This window comes from Homo sapiens, chromosome 19 (assembly GCF_000001405.40).
Source record: "Homo sapiens chromosome 19, GRCh38.p14 Primary Assembly".
Lineage (NCBI taxonomy): Eukaryota > Metazoa > Chordata > Mammalia > Primates > Hominidae > Homo > Homo sapiens.
The window spans coordinates 49,969,659-49,996,586 of NC_000019.10; the positions used below are offsets into that span (position 1 = coordinate 49,969,659).

At 53.1% G+C, this 26,928-nt stretch overlaps 2 protein-coding genes across 20 annotated transcripts in view, besides 5 other annotated features; one reads left to right on the top strand and one right to left on the bottom strand.

Annotated features, from left to right (window-relative positions):
* Window positions 1-5: 5 nt before the first annotated feature.
* On the top strand, window positions 6-6,156 carry SIGLEC16 (sialic acid binding Ig like lectin 16 (gene/pseudogene)). 2 transcript variants are annotated; one of them, NM_001348364.2, is given in 10 exon segments: window positions 6-83; window positions 154-520; window positions 523-533; window positions 665-949; window positions 1,463-1,726; window positions 2,009-2,056; window positions 2,186-2,443; window positions 2,943-3,036; window positions 3,385-3,464; window positions 3,837-6,156. In NM_001348364.2, coding segments are annotated over 9 exon segments (1,440 nt in total). In that variant the 5' UTR covers window positions 6-43; the 3' UTR covers window positions 3,458-3,464; window positions 3,837-6,156.
* Window positions 2,003-2,503: an enhancer, noted in NCBI's record as "H3K4me1 hESC enhancer chr19:50474918-50475418 (GRCh37/hg19 assembly coordinates)". NCBI's record gives its function as "activates a minimal SCP1, AML or CMV promoter by ChIP-STARR-seq in naive H9 embryonic stem cells {active_cell/tissue: H9 hESC(naive)}" and the evidence as "EXISTENCE:reporter gene assay evidence [ECO:0000049][PMID:30033119]".
* Window positions 6,157-6,809: 653 nt separating the features above from the next.
* The window catches only part of VRK3 (VRK serine/threonine kinase 3), a 48,905-nt gene continuing 28,786 nt past the window's right edge, over window positions 6,810-26,928 (bottom strand). For 6 of the 18 annotated variants that reach the window (XM_005258972.5, XM_005258971.4, NM_001025778.2 and 3 more), the window contains 8 exons: window positions 25,533-25,617; window positions 25,156-25,261; window positions 23,202-23,294; window positions 19,981-20,113; window positions 18,714-18,834; window positions 11,297-11,355; window positions 9,425-9,584; window positions 6,810-7,126 (listed from right to left, as the gene is read on the bottom strand). In XM_005258972.5, coding sequence (XP_005259029.1) covers window positions 9,436-9,584; window positions 11,297-11,355; window positions 18,714-18,834; window positions 19,981-20,113; window positions 23,202-23,294; window positions 25,156-25,261; window positions 25,533-25,617 — 746 coding nt within the window. In that variant the 3' untranslated portion in view covers window positions 6,810-7,126; window positions 9,425-9,435. Of the gene's footprint in view, window positions 7,127-9,424; window positions 9,585-11,296; window positions 11,356-12,046; window positions 12,531-16,640; window positions 17,276-18,713; window positions 18,835-19,980; window positions 20,114-23,201; window positions 23,295-25,155; window positions 25,262-25,532; window positions 25,618-26,928 lie in introns of those variants that run through there. The other 12 variants (XM_047438900.1, XM_047438898.1, XM_047438901.1 and 9 more) reach the window with 5 other exon arrangements.
* Window positions 13,874-14,103: an enhancer, noted in NCBI's record as "active region_14970". NCBI's record gives its function as "activates an Ori minimal core promoter by ATAC-STARR-seq in GM12878 lymphoblastoid cells {active_cell/tissue: GM12878}" and the evidence as "EXISTENCE:reporter gene assay evidence [ECO:0000049][PMID:35858748]".
* Window positions 17,564-17,731: a silencer, noted in NCBI's record as "fragment chr19:50490479-50490646 (GRCh37/hg19 assembly coordinates)". NCBI's record gives its function as "represses an EF-1alpha promoter that drives an FKBP-Casp9 reporter gene in an ReSE screen in HepG2 liver carcinoma cells {active_cell/tissue: HepG2}" and the evidence as "EXISTENCE:reporter gene assay evidence [ECO:0000049][PMID:32094911]".
* Window positions 24,606-25,107: an enhancer, noted in NCBI's record as "H3K4me1 hESC enhancer chr19:50497521-50498022 (GRCh37/hg19 assembly coordinates)". NCBI's record gives its function as "activates a minimal SCP1, AML or CMV promoter by ChIP-STARR-seq in primed H9 embryonic stem cells {active_cell/tissue: H9 hESC(primed)}" and the evidence as "EXISTENCE:reporter gene assay evidence [ECO:0000049][PMID:30033119]".
* Window positions 25,108-25,607: an enhancer, noted in NCBI's record as "H3K4me1 hESC enhancer chr19:50498023-50498522 (GRCh37/hg19 assembly coordinates)". NCBI's record gives its function as "activates a minimal SCP1, AML or CMV promoter by ChIP-STARR-seq in primed H9 embryonic stem cells {active_cell/tissue: H9 hESC(primed)}" and the evidence as "EXISTENCE:reporter gene assay evidence [ECO:0000049][PMID:30033119]".

Sequence of the window (26,928 nt, forward strand, 5' to 3'; positions counted from 1 at the left end):
AAGCCAGATGGTCCCGGGACAGGCCCAGCCCCAGAGCCCAGAGATGCTGCTGCTGCCCCTGCTGCTGCCCGTGCTGGGGGCGGGTGAGTGGGTCGGTGGCTGGGGGTCCCAGGCAGGGGCTGGGGCTGCCGCTGAGCCTCTGCATCTCCCCAGGGTCCCTGAACAAGGATCCCAGTTACAGTCTTCAAGTGCAGAGGCAGGTGCCGGTGCCGGAGGGCCTGTGTGTCATCGTGTCTTGCAACCTCTCCTACCCCCGGGATGGCTGGGACGAGTCTACTGCTGCTTATGGCTACTGGTTCAAAGGATGGACCAGCCCAAAGACGGGTGCTCCTGTGGCCACTAACAACCAGAGTCGAGAGGTGGAAATGAGCACCCGGGACCGATTCCAGCTCACTGGGGATCCCGGCAAAGGGAGCTGCTCCTTGGTGATCAGAGACGCGCAGAGGGAGGATGAGGCATGGTACTTCTTTCGGGTGGAGAGAGGAAGCCGTGTGAGACATAGTTTCGTGAACAATTTGTTCTAAAAGTAACAGGTATGGAATGGGGTGGGAACCCCTGCCTGTCACACTGGGGAGGGACCCTGGGGACAGGCTATGGGCTGAGCAGAGAGGGCTTTCAGGGACCCCTGCAGCACAAGAATTCCCCACCCCGGTCTCTGCCCCAGCCCTGACTCAGAAGCCTGATGTCTACATCCCCGAGACCCTGGAGCCCGGGCAGCCGGTGACGGTCATCTGTGTGTTTAACTGGGCTTTCAAGAAATGTCCAGCCCCTTCTTTCTCCTGGACGGGGGCTGCCCTCTCCCCTAGAAGAACCAGACCAAGCACCTCCCACTTCTCAGTGCTCAGCTTCACGCCCAGCCCCCAGGACCACGACACCGACCTCACCTGCCATGTGGACTTCTCCAGAAAGGGTGTGAGCGCACAGAGGACCGTCCGACTCCGTGTGGCCTGTGAGTGTGGCCTGGGAGGGTGGGGCGTGCAGACAGCCCCGGTGGGTGGGGAGGTGGAGGAGCCCAGCAGGACAGTGAGTGGCTCCCAGCTCAGGAGCATCCAGGGAGAGGAAGCTGTGGGGTCCCAGGATGCCGGCTCAGCCCTGGGAGGGGGATGGGAATGGCGTCTGATCCTCTGTCCACATGTGTGAGCCCTGGAGCTGGTTGTCACTTGTCCATCCTGGGATGTTCCCACTTTCTTTTCCCTGAGGGAGTTTTTTCCAGGTGTGAGGAACAAATTGTCCCTCCCTGAAGCCAGCTCACAATCTTGTTGCAGATGCCCCCAAAGACCTTATTATCAGCATTTCACATGACAACACGTCAGGTACTGAGGGCCTTCGGGCTGGGGCTGGGCCAGTCCTCTTTAGGGATGAAAAGGCTTCAGGGGGGTGAGGGGATGTGGTCCTCTTTGCAGCCCCCCCTCCCACCCATTCTCTCTCTCCACCCCCACCCTCTCTCTTTCCCTGTCTTCAGCCCTGGAACTCCAGGGAAACGTCATATATCTGGAAGTTCAGAAAGGCCAGTTCCTGCGGCTCCTCTGTGCTGCTGACAGCCAGCCCCCTGCCACGCTGAGCTGGGTCCTGCAGGACAGAGTCCTCTCCTCGTCCCACCCCTGGGGCCCCAGAACCCTGGGGCTGGAGCTGCGTGGGGTAAGGGCCGGGGATTCAGGGCGCTACACCTGCCGAGCGGAGAACAGGCTTGGCTCCCAGCAGCGAGCCCTGGACCTCTCTGTGCAGTGTGAGTGTGCCTAGCAGGGGCCTGGAGTCCATTGGGAGGGCAGAGGGATACAGGGGCTGGGCTCAGTGTCCCAGAGCTGAGGGGGTCTTGAACCCCAGGCCTCGGGGACTGACCTTCTTACCTGTGTAGACCCTCATGCAGTTTGTGTCTGGGACTCAGTGGGTGATTCTGCCCTGCCCTTCTATCCCACCCACTTCCCCCACCTCAGTCTCCAGGACGCTTCCCTTTGCCCAGAGGGAAGTCCCTGGTCCGTCTAGAGCCGGTCCCCTGTCTCCATTTCAGATCCTCCAGAGAACCTGAGAGTGATGGTTTCCCAAGCAAACAGGACAGGTAGGAAAGGAGACAGAGGAGCCAGGGCCTCTCAGTGCCAAATTGGGGGCCCAGGTGTCTGGAGGGTCCCCATGCAGGCGGGTCCCTGAGCCCTGAGCTGCACGTCGATTCTGCCTCTTCCTTCCCTAGTCCTGGAAAACCTGAGGAACGGCACATCCCTCCGGGTCCTGGAGGGCCAAAGCCTGCGTCTGGTCTGTGTCACACACAGCAGCCCCCCAGCCAGGCTGAGCTGGACCCGGTGGGGACAGACCGTGGGCCCCTCCCAGCCCTCAGACCCTGGGGTCCTGGAGCTGCCTCGGGTTCAAATGGAGCACGAAGGAGAGTTCACCTGCCACGCTCGGCACCCGCTGGGCTCCCAGCGCGTCTCTCTCAGCTTCTCCGTGCACTGTGAGTGGGGAAAGGGGACACCTGGGTCCCAGGAAGGGGCCCCTGCTGAGTCCTGTCCTCCCTCCCACAGAGCCCCCCCAGCTGCTGGGACCCTCCTGCTCCTGGGAGGCTGAGGGTCTGCACTGCAGCTGCTCCTCCCAAGGCAGCCCGGCCCCGTCTCTGCCCTGGTGGATTGGTGGGGAGCTGCGGAGGGAAACAGCAGCCAGGACTACTTCAAGGTCACCCCCAGCTCAGCCGGGCCCTGGGCCAACAGCTCCCTGATCCTCCAAGGGGGGGCTTGGCTCCAACCTCAGGCTCACCTTTGAGGCCCAGAACGTCCATGGGGCCCAGAGCTCTCTGATTCCTGGCGGACAGTCAGGGTATAGGGTGGGGAGGCCTGGGCTCACCAGGTCCTGCATCCAGGGATGTAGGAAGGGCCTGGAGAACCAAGTTGCAATAAGAGAGGAAGGATTCGGAAGTGTGGTTTAGAAGGTGAATGGGCCTTATCCCACTTTTCCAGGCAAATCAGGGCCCATGACGGGGGTGGTTCTGGTGGCTGTTGGGGAGGTGGCTATGAAGATCCTGCTTCTCTGCCTCTGCCTCATCCTCCTCAGGTGAGCCCTGCCCCAGGGACCAAGGGGAGGGGCGGAGAGGGCAAAGGATACACCGCTGAATCCCAGAATCTCAATCCTGGGGGTACTTGGACAGTTAAAGAGGCCTGTGGCCAGGCAGAGGCTGAGTTGATCGTGATGATTCCACACGGGCCAGTGTTGTCAGTCCCCAACTCTGGACCAATGTCCAGGCTGGGGAGGTTCCTGCTTGTATCAGGGAGGTCCTGGGGGCTAGGCCTGCTCTCTCTGCCTCAGTCCCCTCCAACCCCTTAGCAGGGCACAGGGAGGTGAGTCTGCTGCCCTCTTCACCCCCATCCAGCCACACTCACAGGCCCTGGTCTCTTCACCCAGAGTGAGGTCTTGCAGGAGGAAGGCAGCAAGGGCAGCATTGGGCATGGAGGCTGCAGACGCTGTCACGGACTAATCTCCAGGTGAGTGTCGTGGGCCTCTTACCCTCCAACATCCCGCTGGACACCTCCCCCTCGATGGCCCCAAGGACTGCTCCACTCAACTTGGCCATAACTGACTCATCACCTCCCTTTCCAAGCCCACTTCTCTTGTTGAGAGCCCCATCCCTCTGATGACATGGTAGCCCCATCTCTAACGTCAGAACCCGGGTGTGGGTGTCCACCTTGACCTCCCTCCCTCCTCCAGATCCCAAAAATCACTAGCACTTGTCCCTCCTCCTAAGTACAGGTCACCTTGGAGCCCTTTTCTCCATCCTGGCCCCGGTCATGCCTGGGCCTCACCTCTTCCCTGGTCGCTGAACCCACCTCACCTCTTGCCTCCATCTCTCCCAACAGACTCCAGACTGCTTCCAGATGCCTCCTCATCCAGTTCCTCCACAGTCTGAGCGGCCGTGTTTCCTCTGCAGGCTTTGCATGGTCTGTCCCCTGCTGGACTCTCCTGATCCCTCCTTTCCCTGTCACCCAACATCTCCCCAAACCCTCCGGGCCAAGGACTCTGCGGCTCTTGACACTTTGCACGTGTAGTTTCTTCTCCTGAAACACCCTTCCCTCCTGCCAAACCACGTCTGGACCCTCCTTCAGGTTCACTTTTTTTTTTTTTTTTTGAGACACAGTCTCACTTTGTCACCCAGGCTGGAGTGCAGTGGCGCGATCTCGGCTCACTGCAACCTCTGTCTCCCAGGTTCAAGCGATTCTCATGTCTCAGCCTCCTGAGTAGCTGGGATTATAGGCGCCCGCCACCACGCCTGGCTCATTTTTGTATTTTTGGTAGAGACAGGGTTTCACCATGTCGGCCAGGCTGGTCTTGAACTCCCGACTTCAGGTGATCCGCCAGCCTCGGCCTCCCAAAGTGGTGGGGTTACATGTGTGAGCCACCGTGCCCAGCCAGCTGTGTCTTCTTTTTGCAGGATTTACTTACAAAATTCCTTGCAGCTGCAGTCTGCGTTCCACCCACATCCTAATATGGTGTTTGCGGTGGTCACATCCAACTTCCTTCCTCCTCCATCCATGGAACGTGCATTAGGGAGGAACCACACGCACCACGTGCAAGATGAGCCAGTTCCCTGAACGGCCGGCCACGGCGTTAACCGCGCTGCTCTGGGCTCTGCACGTCTCATCTGCTGAGGCGCATTACTGCATCTTTCATGCAGAACTTGCTTTCCATGCCTCACATCTCCACATGTGTGGGGATATGTCCTGAGAAATGCACGGTTAGGTGATTCTGTCGTGTGAGCATCCTTGAATGTGCTTACACAGTCATAAATGGTACAGCCTACCACACGCCGAGGCTATACGGTATAGCCCATTGCTCCTAGACTATACACCTGCACGGCATGTTCCTGTAGTGAAAGCTGTAGGCAATTATAACGCAATGGATAGGTTAAAGACAGAGTTTTAGTAAAAATATGGCATAATAGGCCAGGCGTGGTGGCTCATGCCTGTAATCCCAGCACTTTGGGAGGCCAAGGCAGGCAGATCACAAGGTCAGGAGTTTGAGACCAGCCTGGCCAATATGGTGAAACCCAGTCTCTACTAAAAATACAAAAATTAGCCGGGTGTGGTGGCGGGCGCCTGTAGTCCCAGCTACTCGGGAGGCTGAGGCAGAAGAATCATTTGAACCAGGAGGTGGAGGTTGCAGTGAGCCGAGATCGCATCACTGCACTCCAGCCTGGGCGACAGAGCAAGACTGTCTCAAAAACTAAAACAAAAAAACACCACCACCACCACCAATGTCTGATTAAATCTAAGCCACGGTTCCATTTTGGGGCAAGGGGCAGGGTGTGGGTGTGGTGGACAGAGAACGGGCTCCAGCCACCATCAGCTGCACGTCCTGGTAGCACCTGAGCCATTCCCAGTCTCCTGTGCTGGGAGATCATCATCTAATCCTGATGATGACGCCCTCCTCTCAGAGCTCGGGGGATGAGCTGCCAAAACCCATGGAGGTTCAAAACCCGGGCTCTGGAGACAGAAGACACTGGGCTCAGAGACATGGGGCCACTGTCCAGGCTTTCCCTGGGCCTGGACCTGGGCTCCTTCCACTGTCTGAGCAGGGTCAGCCTGGGCTGGCTGTGCTGGTTCAAGAGATGAGGGAGGAGGACACAGCGGTTGCCAGGACCCTGAGGCACTGGACTGGGCACTGCCCCAAGGGGCAGAGGATGGAACCCGGTGTTGATATTGTGATGCTGACCCGTCTGCTCACCTGATTTGGGTGCTGAAGGGCAGCTGACCCCCCTAATCTTTTATAGACTTGTGAAACGAAAATAAATAAAAGTCAAGCTGGGAACAGCTTAGGGCAAACCTGCCTCCCATTCTATTCAAAGCCACCCCTCTGCTCACTGAGATAGATGCATGTCTGATCACCTCAGTTGGGAAAGGCTAATCAGAAACTCCAAAGAATGCATCTGTTCATCTCTCACCCATCTGTGACCTGGAAGCCCCCTCCCCACTTCGAGTCTTCCTGCCTTTGCTTCAAGTTTTCCCGCCTTTCCAAATGGAACCAAAGTACTTCTTACATATAGTGACTCATGTCTCAAGTCTCCCTAAAACGTATAAAACTAAGCTGTGCCCCAACCACGCTGACCATGTCATCAGGACCTCCTGAGGCTGTGTCACGGCCTGTGTCCTCAACCTTGGCAAAATAAACTTTCTAAATTAACTGGACCCGTCTCAAATTTTCGGGGTTCACAGACTCATGTGCAACAAGGGGTCTAAGCAGGACAGGTTCGGGGGGGTTTCCTATTGTTAGCAGATGTCCCCTTCTGGAAAGGGGTGCAAACACCCACTTTCAGCCAGGAGATGGTAAGCGGTTCCCTGATCCCACCTGCTTCTCCTGAGCAGGGTTTATCAGTACAGGAGAGTCAGGGTATCTGAGAGCACTTCCTTCCTTACCTGGCCTCAGATTCTCCACACTCCAAAGTATGATGCATGATCTGAGTTACTCAAGACAAAATTCAGGGAGGCAGGTTTAGCTTCTCTCTTCCTTTTTTTTCTTTAGACAGGGTCTTACTCTGTCGCCCAGGCTAGAGTGCAGTGGTGCAATCATGGCTTGCTGCAGCCTCGACCTGCTGGGCTCAAGTAATCCTCCTGCTTCAGCCTCCCAAGTAGCTGGGACTACAGGCGTCCACCACCAGGCCTAGCTGATTTTTGTATTTTTTGTAGAGATGGGTTTCACCCTGTTGCCCAGGCTGGTCTCAAACTCATGGGCTTAAGTGATCCTCCAGTTTTGGCCTCCCAAAGTGCTGGGTTACAGGCATGAGCCACAGCACCTGGGCCCCAAAAGAACTTTTACAGATAACTGACTCCTCAAGCTCTGGTAAAACAATTTATTACCAAAGCACAGAGGTGTCAAGGGTAGGAGGGGTCCCCCCTGTGGGCCGGCCCAACCCCATCCAGCTTTGCTAGGACACTGGCTGAAGGGCAGGCCACCAAGATGGGGAACTTCACATTCACGGGAGGGAAACTGGGGCCCTCCGGGAGGCTAATCAGGACTGATGAGTATCCTGAAACCAGTGGCAGGAATGCACATTCCAGGGCTTGTTCTAGAAGCTTATCTGTGATTAAACAGCAGGCCTTGAGTCACATTACTTCATTTTTTTTTTTCTGTTGCACACTGCAAATGGAAAGTTCTGGAAGACAATAAAAATGCTGTTAGTGTCTCATTCATTCAAGGAACACCCTCTATGCCTTCACTTCATGCCAAGCACCTTCTAGGTTCTGGGGATGTCATCTTCTAGGTACTGGGGATGTCATCATGACCATACGGGATGAGGAGCCCCTGCTGGGCTTAGGATGAGGAGGAGGCGGGTGGAGACTACACACTAAACACACGCTTCCCTCCAGATGGGAACAAGGGCTGTGTGGAAAACAGGTGACATGATGAGCAAGTGGGTGGGGAGGCAGTGAGGATGCCTCATGGAGGATGGGGAAGGCCTCGGGTCTTGAGAAGCAGCAGGTACATAAAGCCAGGATGAGGGGAGCTTTCCAGAACTCGGGATGGCAGGTGCAAAGGTTCCGGGGTGGGGTCCAGCTTGGCCTGGTCTAGAATCAGAGGGGCGGGGGTGTGGCTGGTGCATCGTGCACGGGGGAGGAAGGGAGCTCGGCCTCGGGCCAAGGCAAGGAGCTGCTGTGGAGCACAGGCAAGATGACCTTCAAGGTGCTCGAAGATCACTGGGCTCCTTAAATGCCATCTCCTCGTTATGTTCCCAACCAAGGGGCTGAGTGAGTGGCCTCCAGGGAGCGCGTGGGTGTGAGACGGTGGAGACCCTGGGAGGTTGTCAGGTGTCAGGTTCTAAATGCCCTTTGCCCTGGGTGAGGAAGGCACTGTGAGACACAGTGGCACTGACGACGGGAAGCCTGGGCTCGCTCCATCGATAAACAGGATGAAGCCTCTGCCCTGTGCCATGCCAGAAAAGCAGAGATGACAGAGTCAGACGCGACCCTGCCCTGGAGGAGCTGGCTGCCAGCAGAAGACTGTGACAAGTGACCCCGTGGTCAGTCTCACCCGGGACCGAAGGTTTGGAGGAGGCTGCTGGGGGAGCAAGGGTGTTGGGGAGGACCCCGAGCTGTCTGGCCTGGATAACTGGGTACACGGAGGAGCTGTGTATCGAGCTGGAGAGGTGGGGGAAAGAGGGAGATTGGCACAGGTCATGACTTTACTCTCGGCACCACTGGTTGAGGCAGAGAGCCTGCTACTCCACCACGGAGAAAAGAGTCCCCACCCCTCACCACTGGCCCACTCTGTGCGCAGGTGCTCCACGAATCGCTTGACACACACGTGTCAGCTCAGGTTTCAGCCTCAGATGTAAGGAAACGTTGTGGGAATGCAGAAGCACTTGTAATCCAAGCGCCAAGAAGAACGTCGCTGCGCCGGGAGACAGGCCGTCAAAAGGAGATGCTGTTCAAGATGCCCTGCGACTAGGATCTCACAATCGTGGTGCTGCTGACCACGGGGCCGGGGGATTCTTTGTGGGGTGGTACAGGTGGGCACCGTGCTGCATGTCACAGGATGTCAGGCAGCATCCCGGCCTCCACTGTCCCGCATCCTGACAACCAAGTGTCTCCAGACACTGCCAAATGCCCCCAGGGTGGTGCCAAATCAGACAAAGCACTGAGCTTTGGTTCCAGCCAACTCCGATGAGAGAAATGACTACTCCGGGGAGAGAAAAGGAGCCTGGAGAAGCTCCTCTTCAGCACACATCTCTGCACCCTTGCCAAAATTTACTGTGTAGTCTGTCTTTGACCTTGTAAAAATTCCTGCACGTTTACACAAAGTGCTGATGGAAGTAAAGCCATCTAGTCAGCACTGTCAAGTTGATACCTCCATCCACAGACAGCGTGCGCCAGCAGCCGGGCTGTGCACACAGGCAGCACTGTTGGTAAAATAAAAATCTGGGAAACTAAGCAAACGCCCAGCTGCTGGCTGTGAGGAGTGTCCGTCATCCACAGGAAGGGGTAGTGCGCACTATGAACGAGACCCGAAGGCATGGAGCAGCTACCTTTTGTGTATGGGGGCGCCAAGGGGGCCAGGCCAAAGGAAAGTAGAGACTACAGGTGGCCGGGTGGAAGGACAGAGGGAGGCATGGATGCAAGAAGGGACAGAAGATGGCGAGAGACAAACAACGTCTTGATGCTATTTTTGAGGCCCTGAATCCCGTTGTGCCTGAAGCTCCCCCTTGTAATTTTCTAGCTACAACAGCCAATCAATCCCCACTTTTCTTAAAGCCAAGTTGAGCCGGGTTTCTGCTACTTGCCATTCCTTGAGGCTGGGAAGTTCAAGGACCGTGCGGAAAAACCCAGTGTCTCCCTGGGAAGCTGGGCCCTGGTATGAACGTGGAACAGCCTCTGGGAAGTGTCTCCTGGAGCCTGGGGCAGGGCTCGGGTGAGGGCAAGGGGTGAGAGGCTTAAGCCTCACAAGCTCTTCCCACCTGGATTCCACCTAGGGCACCATCGGGAGGCCAATGGGGTCATATGGAGACACACGCAGATCCTGCAGCAAAGCTTCTAGGTTGTTCCTCAGCATGGCGTAGGGCGGCTTCTCCTCATACGTGAGGGCCATCACCACCTTCAGGTACTTCTGCAGGGTCTCTGTGGTCAAGACAACCCCCAGCAAGGGAGAGCCTGAGAGGCATCCCCCAACCCCGATCCTGGGGGTCTCCACCCAAGGATGGAGGGGTGGGGGACTGAGGGGCATGAGGGTCTCAGCAAAAGTGCCCATTTTCTTGTTGCCTGGCATTGCCAGAGGACTTCAATTGTTTTTCAGTTTTGGAAAATGTCATACGCAGGCACCAGTAGAAGGGCATGAACACCCAAGTACCCATCACTCAGTTTCAACAAGGATCACCTCACAGCCAATCTTGTTTCATCAAGACCCCTCCCCTGGCCTGCAGTGTTTTAAAGCAAATCCCAGCTAGCAATGCAGTCTACCTGCATATAAATATTTAGCATGTATCTTTAAAGAGGGCGGGCCCTGCTTCACCTCCACCTCCAACCTCTGGCTGACCAGCTTAAAATCCTCGAGGCCCAAGGTTCACAGAGGTAGAACTGGAGGGGAGTGTCACTTGGGCAGCTGAGCCATAATCTGAACCCAGGGATTTAAAGTAATTCAGCCGGGCGCGGTGGCTCACGCCTGTAATCCCAGCACTTTGGGAGGCAGAGGCGGGTGGATCATGAAGTCAGGAGATCGAGACCATCCTGGCTAACACAGTGAAACCCCATCTCTACTAAAAAAAAAAAATACAAAAAATTAGCCACACATGGTGGCGGGTGCCTGTAGTCCCAGCTATTTGGGAGGCAGAGGCAGGAGAATGGCTTGAACCCGGGAGGCAGAGCTTGCAGTGAGCCAAGATCACGCCACCGCACTCCAGCCTGGGCGACAGAGCAAGACTCCGTCTCAAAAAAAATAATAAAATAAATTTTAAAAAAATAAATAATTAAAAAATGAGCCTTAGAGAGCCAGAGGGAACAAGCTATCTGTTTCTGTCTGTCCATTTCTGCCTCCAGCTTGGAGAAAAGCATCAAAGCTCTTCAGGAGGGGCACAAAGACAACAGGAAAAACAAACACCCCCGACACCCCAACAAGACAGTGCAAATACCCAGTAACAGGGATTGGCTTTATAAGTTACGGTGCGGACAAACCATGACCATTGTGCAGCTGTTGATAAAAGCTGTGGTGCATCTATAAGGAAGGGCATGAAGGATGGCCCCAGGGTTAAGTGAAAAAAGCAAGAGGTAGAATGAGATGTATGTAGGGTGAGCTTATTTTTTGTTCATAAAAATGGCCGGGCATGGTGGCTCTTGCCTGTAATCCCAGCACTTTGGGAGGCCGAGGTAGGTAGATCAGTTGAGGCCAGGGGTTCGAGACCAGCCTGGGCAACATGATGAAACCCCGTCTCTACTAAAAATACAAAAAACTAGCCAGGTATGGTGACGCACGCCTATAACCCCAGCTACTTGGGAGGCTGAGGCACGAGAATTGCTTGAACCTGGGAGGCGGAGACTGCAGTAAGCTGAGATCGTACCATTGCACTCTAGCCTGGATGTCAGAGCTAGACCCTGTCTTAAAAATAAAAAAAAAAAATTACCCTGTCTTCAAAAAAAAGTTGTGTTTTTGTTTTGTTTTTCAGAGGCACTAGTGAATCTTTTGACGATTTTGTCTTTCTACAATGGGTACGTATTACAAATGCAATTTGGAAAACTAAAAAAAATGAAGAGGTGTAAGGAGAAGCCACCCCAAGATGGATCTGAGCCACCAGGTCCTGCCCGAGTCCCCGCCTGTTCCCGCTCCCTTCAGGACGTACCTGAGGGCCTGATCCAGTGACCGCAGGGTCCCACGAAGGGCCCCGGCTTATCAACAAACCTGAAGGGACAGAAACACATGTGAAAGGTCTCTTAGGGAAAGGAGAGCAACCTTTTAAAACAGAATGCCTAAGATATATACACAGCCTAAGATATATACACAGTCCCCTCTGCCATCCAGGGAAGTTATGTTCTTAAAGTCACTGTGAACACTGAATCAACCAATCCACTACCATTGCTCCCAAGGGAAACAGCACTGCTTCCTGCAAGCCTCTGGCCACACGATTTTCCCCGATCAATACACCTTGTTTTGGCCGGGCACAGTGGCTCACGCCTGTAATCCCAACACTTTGGGAGGCCGAGGGGGGTGGATCACGAGGTCAGGAGATCCGAGATCATCCTGGCTAACACGGTGAAACTGTCCCTACTAAAAATATAAAAAACTAGCCGGGTGTGGTGGCGGGTGCCTGTGGTCCCAGCTACTCGGGAGGCTGAGGCAGGAGAATGGCATGAATCTGGGAGGCAGAGCTTGCAGTGAGCCTAGATTGAGCCACTGCACTCCAGCCTGGGCGACAGAGAGAGACTCCGTCTCAAAAACAAAACAAAACAAAACAATACACCTTGTTTTATGTATGTTTCTGTTGAAATACATCTTATGTAATAAGTATTGTTGATTCATTAGCATTGAACTCTTTTAATCTGTGATCCTTAAGACGGAGAGGATCCCTTTGATGATGAGGAAAGATCCAAGATGGAAATAAAGATTTTATTACTTACAGGTCCTGGGGGCACACCGCACACCCAAAGGTGACCTCCCCACCCGTCCCAAGCACACACACAGACACACACACACACACACACGCACACTGGTCAGGGAGCTCGTGGCTGTGAGGGGCCAATGGGCGGTATCCAAACATTTTGAGGAGATTTTAACTGGTAGGTTCAAAGCAAGCAGGCTCGACTTCAGGAGGTCATGCTGTGCCTGAGAGGGGGTCACTGTGGCATCCGCACAGTTCAGTGGAATGTGGGGGCCAGCGGGGCCGTCAAGTAGGCTGTCTGTGGCTGACTCAAAGGGAGGGAGGTGGTCCCCCGGAGGCGGCTGCATAACGGAGATATCTGGGTCAACCACACGGAGGAACTGGGAGGAGGTGGAAAACTGCAAACTGCTGACGGTGACCGAGCCTTGTTTCTGGCATGACAAAGTCCAGCTTACATTAAAATGAATCCCAAGGCAACCTGAAATGATAAGAATTCCCCACAGACTCATGACCAACAGCACCGTAGCTCATGCCTGAACAAAGCTGATAAAACACACGAATTATTAACCATCTCAGGCTTTGGGACATCAGACAGCCCTTCAGCATTATGCTAGGTGGCTGTTTGATTTTTTGTGGAGATGGGGTCTCACTATGTTGCCCATGCTGGTCTGATCCTCCTGTCTCGGCCTCCCAAAGTGCTGGGATTACAGATGTGAGCCACCACGCCTGGCTGAGGCCATTTTAAATGGCATAATCACTGACAAAAAGCATAAAAACAGGAAAAAATGTATCATTAACTAAACAGTGAAAAGGACACCAGCGTATATAGTGTGGAGGCTGAAATAGGGAGGCAGAATGCTGTCTGGTTCCACCCTAGGCTGGGAACATGTGTGTCAGATGATTAAAATTTTTCTCCACACTGTGTCTGTAAGTGGCCATGAAAGAACAGCAAGAATTGATTTGGGGTTACAACTACTTTTAGTGAGTAAGAGAATTCACACATATGGACTCTGAATAATCAGGACTGACTGTATATGTACATACACACACATACACATATATGTATAACACAAACACATGCATGCACGTGCAACCGTTTGTTCAGGAAAAATCCTGATTTGCCCACTGCCTTTGCTCCATCCTCCAGGCCCAGCCCCTCCACTTCTCTGCCTGGCCCATCGGGCCAGCTCCCACCACCTGCCCAGTCACTGGTCTCTGACCCTGCCTTCGCCATCCCCCAGCCCCACCCTCCAGTTTCTCAACTCTCTCTGCCCCATGTCCTCCTCTGCCCCATGGATCTGGGGCCAGCTCAGCCCTCAACCTTTCTCCCTGGACCTCAACTCCTTGCTGGCCTCCTGTGTATCCCCATGTGGACCCAGAGGGTCTCTTTACACCTGTCCCTGACCCTCCCTGCTCACAGCCCACCCTCCCTCCCATGGCTCCCCAGCACACACTGGCCACCCTCTGACTCCATCTCCCCACTCCTTCCTCCCATTGCATGTCCCAGCCACACCAAAGGACTCCTAGGCCCACGAGGCCACACATCCACGCACGTATGCCTCTGCACATATCGCTCTCGCTGCCTGGGTGGTCTTCCCCACCCTGAGCTCTGGCAGGTGGCTGTTCTCCCTTTGAGATACAGCTCGAGGGCTTGGCCTCCCAAGAAGTCTTCCCCAGACCCCTCCAGGCGGAGGAACTCTGTCCCTCCTGGGCCTGTGCGTAGGTCCACAGATGTCCCATGGCGGCCATTGACATACATGCGCAGGAAGGCCCGGTTGTGCCATCAACAGGACATTATACACTGCACAGCAACACCACTGCCACCACCTGCCATGGGCTCTCCCTGGCCAGGTGGGCAGCCCTAACAGCGGGTCCAAAGCTGGCTCTCATTTGTGCTTTGCCCAGCAAGGGGCCTTGAATGCCAGAAAGCCTCGGGGACTTCAACGGCCTCTCCTCCTTCTTTTACTCATTTTGTCTGTCGTGAACTACAATGTGCAAAAAATGAGTATCTGTTGAATGAATGGAAAAAGGCCATGTATACCAGTAAACCGTCCTAGCGCAGGGCACCTTAGGGTGCCAGGAAACGAGCATGTAGCAACATCGCCCCCTTGTGGTCCCCTTGGTTATTGTCTGGGCTAACAGACTATGGGCTGGGGGTGAGGAGGTGCATCTGGGGGACAGTGTCAACATTGCCAGCTACTCTCCAGAGAGCATTTTTGTGCGCCTGGCCCTCTATGGTTGTGGTCTGGAGCTGGGGCTGTGGAATTACTGTTATCCATGCTGCTATCATTGATATGAGATGATTACCATGACCTGTCTTAACTCACCCTGCACCATGTTGGCGAGTGCAGACCCTCTCTGTGAACCAGTCACATTCAACAAGTCTCTTTAGATGGGGGGATGTGAAAAGCATGATAAGACCGCTCTTAGGAGTTAGGAAGTGAAGTGGGGAGAAGACTCAACCGAGGGGAGCCTTGGAGACCAGTTTCCCTGACAAGACTGGAGTTCAGAGGCACCATGGGCTGATTCTAACCTGGGTGTCCAGCACAGCCACTGGCCTCAGGAACCTGGCACTGAATGCGTAAGTGGAGAGGGTTCAGAGCTGTGCTGTCCTGTCTGCCTAGGAATCTTGCCTCCCCCTTGCCCACCTGGGAGGCTCTTGTGTTCTCTAGAGACCAGGTCAGGCATCTCCCAGGTGAGGGTTTCCAGGAGCCGGTGGCGGGGTCCTGTGCCTCCCCTCTGCTCCCACAGTGCCGGGCTACCTCCACCCTCACCTGCAGCTCCTGCTTCCTGTCCGTGTCTCCTCCCAGCCCTGAACTCCCGACATTGGGGCTGCGTCTGCCCGACCTCTGTGTCCACACTGAAGCCTGGGCGGGCTCAGCATTCACTCCTTAGTTGTTCTTCATTCCACTACGATTTTTCTTTCCTTTTTCTTTTTTTGAGACAGGGTCTCACTATGTTGCCCAGGCTGGAGTGCAGTGACAATCACAGCTCACTGCAGCCTCCACCTCCTTGGACTCAAGTGATCCTTCCACCTCAGCCTCCTGAGTAGCTGGGACTACAGTCGCGTGCCACCACACCCGGCTACTTTTTTTGTAGAGATGGGGTCTCACCACGTTGCCCAGGCGGGTCTCAAACTCCTGGGCTCAAGCAATCTGCCCACCTAAGCTTCCAAACTGCTGAGATTACAGGCGTGAGCCACCGCACCAGATCTGCTGCTATTCCTTGGGCACCCACAATGTGTGCTCTCTGTTGTATCCAGAGAAGGATGTGTGTGTGTGTCACAGGGAATTGAGGCCCCCCTACTGCCCTCAGTCTCCTGCCTTGGGACTGTTAGTGAGAGGAGTGAACCCTCCCTCATGGAAGCTGCAGTGTTTTGGGGTCTCCTTGTGAGAACAGCTCAGTCTTGTCCTGAACTAACCCATTAGAGTGTGTGAGGGAGCATTTCACTACCTTCACTTACACAGGGACTCCAGCGGGCCACTCATTCTGTGACTCGTTTTCACCTGGCTTCATTTCAAAAGAAACCTGTCTCACCACTGTGAGCAGAAAACCCCAGCACCATCTGTTAAAGCTAGAGAGTAAGTGTAAAAATAAGCTCCAAGAAAATGGGGCAATGGACTTGTGTTCTAGCAGGTCCTGAGGCTGGCTTCCCATGCAGAGGTTGCCTGCGGAAGTCTGGGGGCTGAAGGCCTGTCTCTTCCTCTTTCCGCAGGGATGTTGGGGCAAATTAGCATCAAACTGTGTCATCCTTCTTGCCACTGTTTAAAGCTTCATGGTCCTTCAGGGGGCATTTTACCTGTTACCATCGCTGCGAGACCTGCCCCTGACATTAGACCTACAAGTGTGCTGCACACCCCCACCAACAGTCCCACCAGTGGACACCCAGGACCTGGCCTCATGACCCTCATCAGTCTGACCTCTGACACACCATGTGTTTCACCCTTTAGCTCCTGTCTCCCGCAATAGGATGTGAGCTCCCTGAGGGCAGGGATTTTTGTCTTACTCATTCCTGTATCCCCAGGGCCTAGAACAGAGTCTAGCACATGGCAAGGGTTCAGTATTTGTTGAGTGAAGGTAGGCTGGGTCCAGGAACCACCAGTTCACCTCATAAGCCTCCTCCACTTGGGAAGCAGCACGTAGGTGACATGGGCTGTCTCTGGAGTTGAATGGCCCAGGTTTGAGCCCAGGAGCCCCTGCTTAGTAGCTGTGTGGCCTGGACTGATTACCTAAGCTCTCTGTGCCACAGATCACGAGAGCACGCAGCTCAGAGCAGTTGTGAGGATGCAGGGGAAGCACCAGGGGCAGTGCCTGGCACAGACAAGTGTATAATAAATGTTAGCTTTGAACAGTCAGTAGAAGGAAGTCAAAATGACGACACACATCCCCTTCTCTGAAGGAGGATGAAATTCTGGGCATGGTGCCACTTATGCCAATTAAACACATACCCAAGAACATCATAGAGTTTTTAAGGACACAGATGCATCTAAACTAACACATTTAGGAGTATTCAGAAGTAGTGAACTAGGTGTATAGTTAAAGTTAAAAACATAACATTGAGTGAAAGAAGGCAAGAAACAGCATGAGGTTTAGAGCATAGTGCCATTTATACAAATTAACACACAGTACCACCATATATAGTTTAAGGACACAGACATGTCTATAGAAAATTGATTTAGAAGCCGGAGTCAGAAGCAGTGAACTCGGTCCACATGTAGGGATAGGGTTAAAGCTGAAGAGAGCCAGAGACAGATGAGACGCAGAGTGGAACATCACTTACGCAAATCACACACAGCACCACGGCCAGCATGCGATTTTGAGGGTACAAATACATCTAAGTGAACACATCAGAACACATGTTAAGTGTGCTTGAGCAGCTGTCCATGGTTGAGAGAAGGAAGTTGGGAGACACGAAGGGAGTAAAATAAAACGAGAAAGGCTTCATGTGAGGGAAGGACTGGGAAGGACTTCACGGCACACTAAGGACAGGGAAACATGAGGGACTCAACGCCATTTACTGGAGGGTTCACCCTCTTCCCACTCTATATGCCTTCCCAGATAATCTCATCCTCTCCTGGGGCTTCAGCTGATGGCTCCGGAGATATTCCCGGGGTCTGAGTCTCCCTTTAGACTTCACTCCTGCACTTCAGACGTAGATGGCCAGCTGCCTCCCAGATGACTTGGGCAACAAGTCCAAGACGGAGTCTTGCTTTGTCACCCAGGCTGGAATGCAGTGGCGAGAGCTCGGCTCACTGCAACCTCCACCTCCCGGGTTCAAGCAATTTTCCTGCCTCAGCAGGGATTACAGGTGCCCACCACTGCTTCGGCTAATTTTTGTTATTTTCAGTAGAGACAGAGTTTCACTATGTTGGCCAGGCTGGTCTCGAACTGCTGACCTCGAGATCCATCTGCCTTGGCCTCCCAAAGTGCTGGGATTAAGGCGTGAACCACCGTGCCCGGCCTGGGCAACTGATATTCATGTCTGAAGTGCATGCCTAGCACGCCCGCTAGGATCAGCTGCCCACTGTCCTTGGTGCTGAACTCATACCCACAGCGCTTCCCTTTTGTGCTCCGCTGTCCCTGGTGCTGAACCCACATCCCTAGCACTTCCCTTTTGTGTCCCGCTGCCTGCTGTTCTTGGTGCTGAACACACACCTTAGTGCCTCCCTTTTGTGCCCAGCTGCCTGCTGTCCCTAGTGCTGAACCCATACCCCTAGTGCTCCCTCTGTGTCCAGCTGCTCAATGCCCTTAGTGTTCAATCTCACCCCAGAACTTCCTCATATGTTCCGCTGTCCACCGGCTTTGGTGCTGAATGTTTAAACCAGCACTGGTAAGACCTGGTGGTTTACACAGAGGTGAAGGCACTGATCTGGCAGTGTGGACACTGCATAGGTGGTGCTACCAGTGCTGAGGCAGGGCCTGGGCCTATCCTGCTCAGATTGCCTGCATGTTTGTGATGAATGAGTCATAGTTTCCCACACACAATGAGCTTTTTTTTTTTTTTTTTTTTGAGACGGAGTCTCGCTCTGTCGCCCAGGCTGGAGTGCAGTGGTGCAATCTTGGCTCACTGCAAGCTCCCACTCCCAGGTTCACGCCATTCTCCTGCCTCAGCCTCCCAAGTAGCTGGGACTACAGGCGCCCGCCACCATGCCTGGCTAATTTTTTGTATTTTTAGTAGAGACGGGGTTTCACTGTGTTAGTCAGGATGGTCTCGATCTCCTGACCTCGTGATCCGCCCGCCTCTGCCTCCCAAAGTGCTGGGATTACAGGCGTGAGCCACCGCGCCCGGCCACAATGAGCATTTTCTCTGAGCCAGCCCCTGTGCTAAGTGCTGTGTGCACCTGACTTCCCTGAACTCTTTGCAGTCCCATAAGGTAGTAGCTAGTAGGAGACCATCTCATGGAGCAGGACACTGAGGCTCGCAGACGTTAACACCCCACAGTGGTGGTGCCAGAGTCTGAGCCCAGGCAGTGTGGCTCCGGAACACCTGCCTCGCCTGCTGTGTGGACACTGCAGCACATGCCTGTGCGGCTCAGAGGACTTGGGCTCTGCTGGATGCCACCTCCCCTTCCCTCCTGCTCCCAGTTGGGCTCTGGGCTTCTGTCCACCTGCAGGGGTTCTGCTGACCACCTGCAGGGGTTCTGCTGACCCCTAGACTCACTTCTGTTTTTGCTTCATGATGTCCTCAGTGTTGGGAAGGCAATTTGTCCATGGCAGAAACCCGTAGAGCCACTTCAGCATGCAGTAGCCCAGGCTCTGGAGGTCGCTGCGGCGGGAGGGCCCTGGGGAAGGAGGAGTAAAGGTGGCAGCTCAAGTCTGGACGCTCCACTCACTGGTGGGTCCACCCCCCTTCCTTCCCCTCTCTCTCACTGACTCAACCACACACTCATACACCCAGCCTTCCAGCCATATGGGCTGTCTCCTCCGCTCATTCACTTTCATGAGTAGGCAGAAGCTGACTCATTCTCTCTCTCACTCAACCATTCTCTCAGCCCCTTTTACCAGGTCACCCTCATCCACTCCTCTTTCATTCATGCACTCATTCAATCAAGCCTCAGCACCCGTGTGCCAGGCCCAGCTCACTTCTGAAAACCCAGACCAGGATCTCGTCGGGTCCCAGCCCGTGACAGCCTAGTGGGGAGACAGCTATAGCGTGCGACTACCTGAGTGACAAAGGACACAGAACACACGGGAGCCCAGAAGGATGGGTACCAAACCCAGCCTCAGTGGGGGAGGGCGGGGGAGACTCTGACAGTTTATTTTTCTTATGCTTCCTGAGCATAAGACAACGCTTAATTTAGACAACGCTTTGTGTAAGCACTCGACAAGCACTACTTGTCCGTGCTGGCCTTCCACCACCCGATGCTGGAGGCAGGGGTGCCATCCCTGTACTGGGGGAGCTCAGTCTGATGGGAGGATGTGGCAGGCATGTGGACGGCCATGATATAAAGGGATGTGAGAAAGAGGGGCTCAAGAAATCTGCCCTGGGCCCTCTTCCTAGTCTGTACACTTTCCCTGGATGATCCCATCCTCTCCCAGGGCTTCGGCTGATAACTTCTGAGATACTGCAGAGCCTCTGCCCAGATCTCCCTCCCACACTCCAGATGTGGTGGCCAACCACCTCCTCAACAGCCCCTCCTGGATGACTCCTAGGCAACTCCCATCTTCCAAGTCTACAACAGATCCTGAACCCCAACCTCTGGAACTCAGGCTCCCCAGTGCCCAGCCTCCCACTATGCTTAGTGCTGAACCGCTACCCCACCCACCTCCCTTGCGGTCGGGACGCTGTCTGTGGTTCCAATCCCTGTCCTGGCGCCCTTAGTGCCTCTCCTGTCTGGCCACCTGCTGTCTCTGGCTGTGAACTCCTAGAGCTGCCCTTGTATAAGAAGCATCTCTCTGCGGTCCCAAACCCATCCCTGGCCTCGTACCGCATCCCTTGTGCAGGTCCATGCTAATGAACTCAAGGTCCCCCTCGTGAGGGCTCCTGCTGCCTTCCACGTAGGCCACGTGTTTGCCACTTGGGCAATAGCGGAAGGCGAAGCCATAGCCTGCCAAAGTCACCTGTGGACACAGGGAAAAGCCATACAGATTGGAGGTTAGGAGCGTAGAAGTCAGAGATTTCCATCGTGGGTGCAAGTGACAACAAACATTCTACCAAAGATGGCATTTTTCACTTACAAAACTAAGGCATGCTCATAGTAAAAATGATGTGAAGTAAAAAGAACCCAAACCAGCCATCCATATTTCCTCCCAGCCCCTAAAACCCATCGCCCAGAAATAACCACTAGTAACAGTTTCGTATGCATCATTCCAAAATTTTTTTTTTTTTTTAAATAACCAGGTAAACATATGTGGATGGGGAGGGGGCTCTTGTTTTCCACAGAGGCCTCACACCAGACCTCCTGTTGGGCACCGGCACTTTACACTTTAATAGTGGTTCTGGGCATTAACTCTGGGGCCAGATGGCCTGGGTTCAAATGCCAACTCAGCCCGCTGGTGGCGGTACAACCTTGGGCAAGCTATACCAGTTCTCTCTGCTATGATTTCTCCATTTGTAAAATGATGATAATAATAGTCCCCACCTCAAAGGGTTCTTATAAGGCTTAACTGAGTTTAAAACAAAAGTTAAATGCTTTCTGCCTGATACATAAAGTTAACCAAATCTTCTTTCAAAAATATCTACTTATTTATTTTGAGATGGGGTTTCACTCTGTCACCCAGGCTGGAGTGCAGTGGCGCGATCACGGCTCACTGCAGCCTCCTAGGCTCCAGTGATCCTCCCACCTCAGCCTCCCGAGTAGCTGGGACTACAGGCATGCACCACCATGCCCAGCCGATTTTTTGTAAAGATGGGGTTTTGCCCTGTTGCCCAGGCTGGTCTTGAACCCCTGGGTTCAAGTGATCCTCCTGCCTTGGCCACTGTGCCCAGTCCATGTCTTCTTTTCAATGGCTGCATCTTATTCCACCATATGGATAGTGGACAACTGTTGGTTTTGTCTATGTAAGACCTATATACACTTCCCCGGCTCCCTGTTTTTCTGTTTACAGTTTGTGGTGTTCATTAAAAAAATAATTTTTTTTTTTTAAGTTTTGAGACAGGGTCTCACTGGGTCACGCAGGTTGGAGTGCAGTGGTATGATCATGGCTCACTGCAGTCTCCATCTCCTGGGCTCAGGTGATCCTTCTACCTCAGCCTCCTGAGTAGCTGGAACCACATGTGTATGCCACTACACCTGGATAGGTTATTATTTTTTATTTTGTACAGATGAGGTTCCCTATGTTTCCCAGGCTGGTCTCGAACTCCTGGGCTCAAGCGATCCGATCCTTCCACTTTGGCCTCCTAAACTGCTGGAATTACAGGTGTGAGCCACTGGGCCTGGCCATGATGGTCATTTTTATGTGGCAACTTGACTGGGCCATGGGGTGCCCAGACATTTGGCCAAACCCTATTCTGGGAGTGTCTATGAGGGTGTTCTGGATGAGATGAACATTGGGGTTTGTAGACTGAGCAAGGCAGATTATTCTCCTTAATGTGGGTGGGTCTCATTCAATCAACTCAAGATGTGAATAGAATAAAAAGCTAAGTAACCAGAAGCTCCTCCTCCCTGACTGCTTGAGCTAGAACATTGGTCTTTTCCTGCCTTTGGACTTGAACTGAAACAACCCCTCTTCTTGGGTCTCAGGCCTGCTGGCCTTTGGATTGGAACTTACATCATTGGCTCTCCTAGGTCTCCAGATTGCAAACTGAAGAATCTCAGGACTGCTTAGCTTCCATTATCAATAAGCCAATTCCTTATAATAAATCTCTACACACACACACACACGCACACACACACACACCCTGCCAGTTCTGTTTCTCTGAAGATTCCTAATGCTTAGTTCCAGGATTTTCATCTGGGATTGCTTTTCCCCAGTTCTCAGTCCACGCAGTTCAGGTCTGTTTCTGCCAGGGCTGCTAAGCTTTGGGGATTTAAGCCTAATTTGCTGGTGGCAATTTTGTCACCATGAGGAATAAGTCTGCCTGACAACGAGCAGTGCAGAAGCATGAGGAGTCCAGAGATGGGAGAGCCGGCTTCCCAATGACAGGGTTTGAGCTCCTGGATCCTGCCGTGCCCGAGACAGTGCAGTCCTGGATTGCTCCATTCTGTGGACTAATACATTGCACACAGTCCCTTTTGGTTTTTGGCTTAAGGCATGTAAAGTTGGGTTTCTGTCATTTGTAATTGTAAGAGCAATTAGAAGTTACTTTAAAATACTATTTAATCAGTATCCCGCTTAAGGTGTTTCCCATTTCACTATTACAATCAGTGTTGCCAGGAACATCTTGTACACTTATCTTTGAACAATCCTATGAATATATAGGTAGGACACCTTCCTAAGACAGGAACTTGTGGATCAAAAAACAGGTGCATTTTGGCCGGGCACGGTGGCTCAGGCCTGTAATCCCAGCACCTTGGGAGGCAAAGGCGGGCGGATCACCTGAGGTCAGGAGTTCGAGGCCAGCCTGACCAACATGGAGAAACCCCATCTCTACTAAAAATACAAAATTAGCTAGGCGTAGTGGCGCATGCCTGTAATCCCAGCTACTCAGGAGGCTGACAGAGAATCGCTTGAACCCAGGAGGTGGAGGTTGTGATGAGCCGAGATCGTGCCATTGCACTCCAGCCTGGGCAACAAGAGTGAAACTCCATCTCAAAACAAAATCAAAGACAAAAAACAGGTGCATTTAAAACTGTGACTGTTATTGCCTTCCAAAAGGGTTTCCCAATTCATGCTTCCAACAGTATATGAAGAATTCCTACTTCCTTATATCCTTATCAGCAATGAATATTATTATCATGCTTAATTTTGTTCAAAGGGTGAAAATAGTATCTTGTTTTAAGTTACATCTCTATAGTTACTAAGGAGGTTGAATATCTTTTCATATTATTTAGCTAGCCTGTGGATTTCTTTTTTTAAGAATTGCTTTTCTTATCCTTTGTCCATTTTCCTACTAAGTTGCTTATCTTATTTATTTGAAGGAGCTCTTTATATATGATGGACAGCAATCCTTTGTCTGTAATAAGCACTATGAAATAAATAGAGATTTGGAGACAGATGGGAACCTGAGCCCAGAGATCTTCCAGAGTGGGCAGGAGCTGGCTCTTACCTGACTCTGGTCCTCTGGATCCACAAAGATATTTTCAGCTGTCACATTTCCATGAACATACTCATTCTCATGGAGGAACTCCAGGGCATCCAGCTGGGGGAAGAAGCAAGTCAGTGTCTGCATGAGCAGTACGACTAACACAGAGAGGCTATGGTGCAGACCAGGAGGGAGCCCCACTATTAAGGCCTGGGGTTGTCCGACACTGTGACTGGGGGTTAAACCTGACTAAATCCGGGGTAGCATGAGGAGCCCGCTGTGACAGCACATTGAGCACGCCTCTAATCAGGCTCTCAGGAAGCTCATCAATTGAGCTAAAGCGTGGCTTCCTATCTACTCCTGTATTTCTCTCTTAGCTGATGACAAACTCAGCAGAGGGAAAAGGGGTTAATGTCTCTCTGCAAAAATGACTCAGCACCTGTGGATATCAAAGAGCTCTTCTCACCTGTCCTAGAGAGCAGAAATAAATCTTGTTAAGCAATTTATATCTTGATCTCCAGCTCCAGCTGTCCCTATGAGCTCCAGACTCTTTTTTTGCTGTGTGTATATATATATTTTTGAGACAGGGTCTTACTCCTGTTGCCCAGGCTGGAGTGCAGTGGTACAATCACTGCTCACTGTAGCCTTGATTTCCCAAGCTCAGGTGATCCTCCCACCTCAGCCTCACAAGTAGCTGGGACTACAGGTGGGTGCCACCACACCCGGCTAATTTTTTGTATTTTTATTAGAGAGGGCATTTTGCCATGTTGCCCAGGCTGGTCTTGAACTCCTGAGCTCAAGTGATCCACCTGCCTCGTCCTCCCAAAGTGCTGGGATTACTGGCATGAGCTGCTGCGCCCGGCCAATTCTTTGATTGTGTCTGCTGCCTGAGTGTCAGCTACATTCTGATCATATCCCCAACCCTCTTTGACCCCAGGGCTCTACTGTCCACCAAATTCTGCTCGTTCTCCTCCTATAGACTCTCCACCCCCGGGGCCCGGGACCCTCCTCAGCCTTGTCCTCTCCCACATGGACCCTCACTCAGATTCTTCTCCCCATTCCAGTCCCTCCCCATATGGCCCCTGAGGGCCTTTCTGTACCCAGAGCTGACCCCGCCCTCCCCTAATCCCAGCACTCTTGTGGCTCTCCAGTGCCCTCAAGACAGATCCCAGCCCCTCAGCCTGCTGTGCGAGGCCCCGTGTGATGTGGTCACCGCTGACCTCTCCAGACCAACTCCATCTCTTCCGCACTGCAGTGCCATACTGCAGATACTGAACATAAAGACCTTAGGACTCAGCATGTCGCTCCCTTGGTACGTCCATCCCTCCAGCGATGCAAACTGGGCCCTCTTACTCTCAATCACAGCAGGGGCCGCTTCTATTCAGAGCACTTGTCATAGTTTGTGCAACTGTTTGATTCACTATTGGCCCCTCCCACTAGACTGTGAGCTCTAAGACACAGAAACCATGTTTATGCTGCTCCCTGCTCTGCACCCAGCCCCGGGGACAGCGTCTGGCACCCAGCAAGTGCCTGATGAATATTTAATGGGGATGAATGAATGAACTAATGAACAAATGCCATATGCTCTCCCTTCCACACAAGCCTTGCCCCAGCTGTATCCTTGGCCGGACCATCCTCTCCTCATCTATCCTCTTCCTCTTCCACCCAGCACTTTGCTATTTCCACTCATCCTGAGAGTCTTGGCTTAGAAACACCCTCCACCAGGAAGCCTAATCTAAGCCTTCAGTTTGAGGCCGGGGCTCCTTCCTCCAATGCTCATGGCCCCCCAAGGGCCCTCCACAGGACTGACCACCCATCATCTCGGCTCTAACCGCCTGCCATGGCAGTCAGTGAGCCAGCCCCCAGTGTGCAGCGGAGGGGGGTGGGGGCCGGAAGTGTCAATGACTAAAGTGCCTGCTAAACTAGGATGTGATGTGCCCTCCCTGACGCGGCAGCTGAGCAACTTCTGGGTACGCACCAGCCGGCAGGCCACCTGCAGCACAGACCTCTCTGACAGCACATGCTTTGGGCTGACATCCAGGGCCGACTGAAGGCTCCTCCCCAGGCTGGGTAACACCAAGAACCTGGAAGACACAAGCACCCCAGGAGGTGGGAGATGAACAGGGGAGAGAGGAGTACCGGCCGCCAAGGATGGACTGTTGCGTGGGCTGCAAGGTCCTGGTCCCAGGTGAGATCAAAGGTTCTGACTGGCTGGGCAGCAAACTAGGTCAAAACTACGAGAAGGCAGGAAGCAAAGACCTGGCCCACGGCTTCGGGGTCCCAGCCATGCCTGGAGTCACAACAGGAAGAAGAGGAAAGAGGCCGGTGAGGCAAGCAGTGAGCAGAGCAGCTCACCTGTATTTGTCCTGGTGAACACCGAAACCCATGCAGGTAGGGATGGCCAGCAGTGGGGTCGAGTACAGCTTCTTCCACTTGTTGACTGCGGAAAGCAGGGGCTTGAGGTTAGAACCCACCCAGTCCCAAGCCCATGGCAGTAAGAGCTAGTTCTCAGAGAAGAAGCACAGAGTGCCCAGACCGCCTCCAAGTCTCCTTGTTGGAGGTGACAACATTGTGGGTGGGTGATGGTGGGAAGGGGCTGGTGACAGGGCAGGCATGGGTGACCATGAATGTCTGTGATCCAGGTCTGCAGGTGATGGGGTGATCATGGTGGCTCTGGAGGAAGCATATACAAGTCTGGAGTGCAGAGATGGGATAATGACAGGGTTACTTCCGAATTCACACATAGAGCTAACAAGATCAACACGTGTCTAACCTAGCCATGGCATCACCGGAATGTGCCTCTGCCTGTCTTCCAGATCTCAGTGGGGTGGACCAGAACCAATGGCGAGCTGATGCTAGTTTAACAGCTGGCTATCCAGGGAAGGCAGTCCTGATGGGTAGCATTTGCTAATTTCTTTTTTCTTTTTTTTTGAGACGAAGTTTTGCTCTGTCGCCCTGGATGGAATACAATGGCGCGATCTTGGCTCACTGCAACCTCCGCTTCCTGATTTTAAGCAATTCTCCTGCCTCAGCCTTCCATGTAGCTGGGATTGCAGGCTTCTGCCACCAGGCCCAGCTAATTTTTTTTTATTTTTTATTTTTTTTGAGATGGAGTCTTCGTCTGTCACCAGGCTGGAGAGCAGTGGCGTGATCTCGGCTCACTGCAACCTCCACCTCCCAGGTTCAAGTGATTCTCCTGCCTCAGCCTCCCGAGTAGCTGGGATCACAGGCACGTGCCACCACATCCAACTAATTTTTGTATTTTTAGTAGAGATGGAGTTTCACCATGTTGGCCAGGATGGTCTCAATCTCCTGACCTCATGATCCGCCCGCCTCGGCCTCCCAAAGTGCTGAGATTACAGGCATCAGCCACCACGCCCGGCCTTTTTTTTTTGTATTTTCAATAGAGATGGGTTTTGCCATGTTGGCCAGGCTGGTCTCGAACTCCTGACCTCAGGTGATCCACCGGCCTCCGCCTCCAAAAGTGTGGGAATTACAGGCATGAGCCACCGCGCCCGACTGCATTTGCTAATTTCTGCAGTGTAAATAAATACTCCTGCTATGGCCAACTCCAAGCTACCAACATGACATGACTGGAGGTGGGGTGGGAGAGATATACAGGGGAGGCCATCATGCAGCATTCTCACCACACAGAGACAATAGTGCACACAACCTCACTGGCAGAGATCACAGGACATGTAGGAAATAATTAGGAAGTGATGAATTTCTGAGGGTTCATTACCTTTGTTTT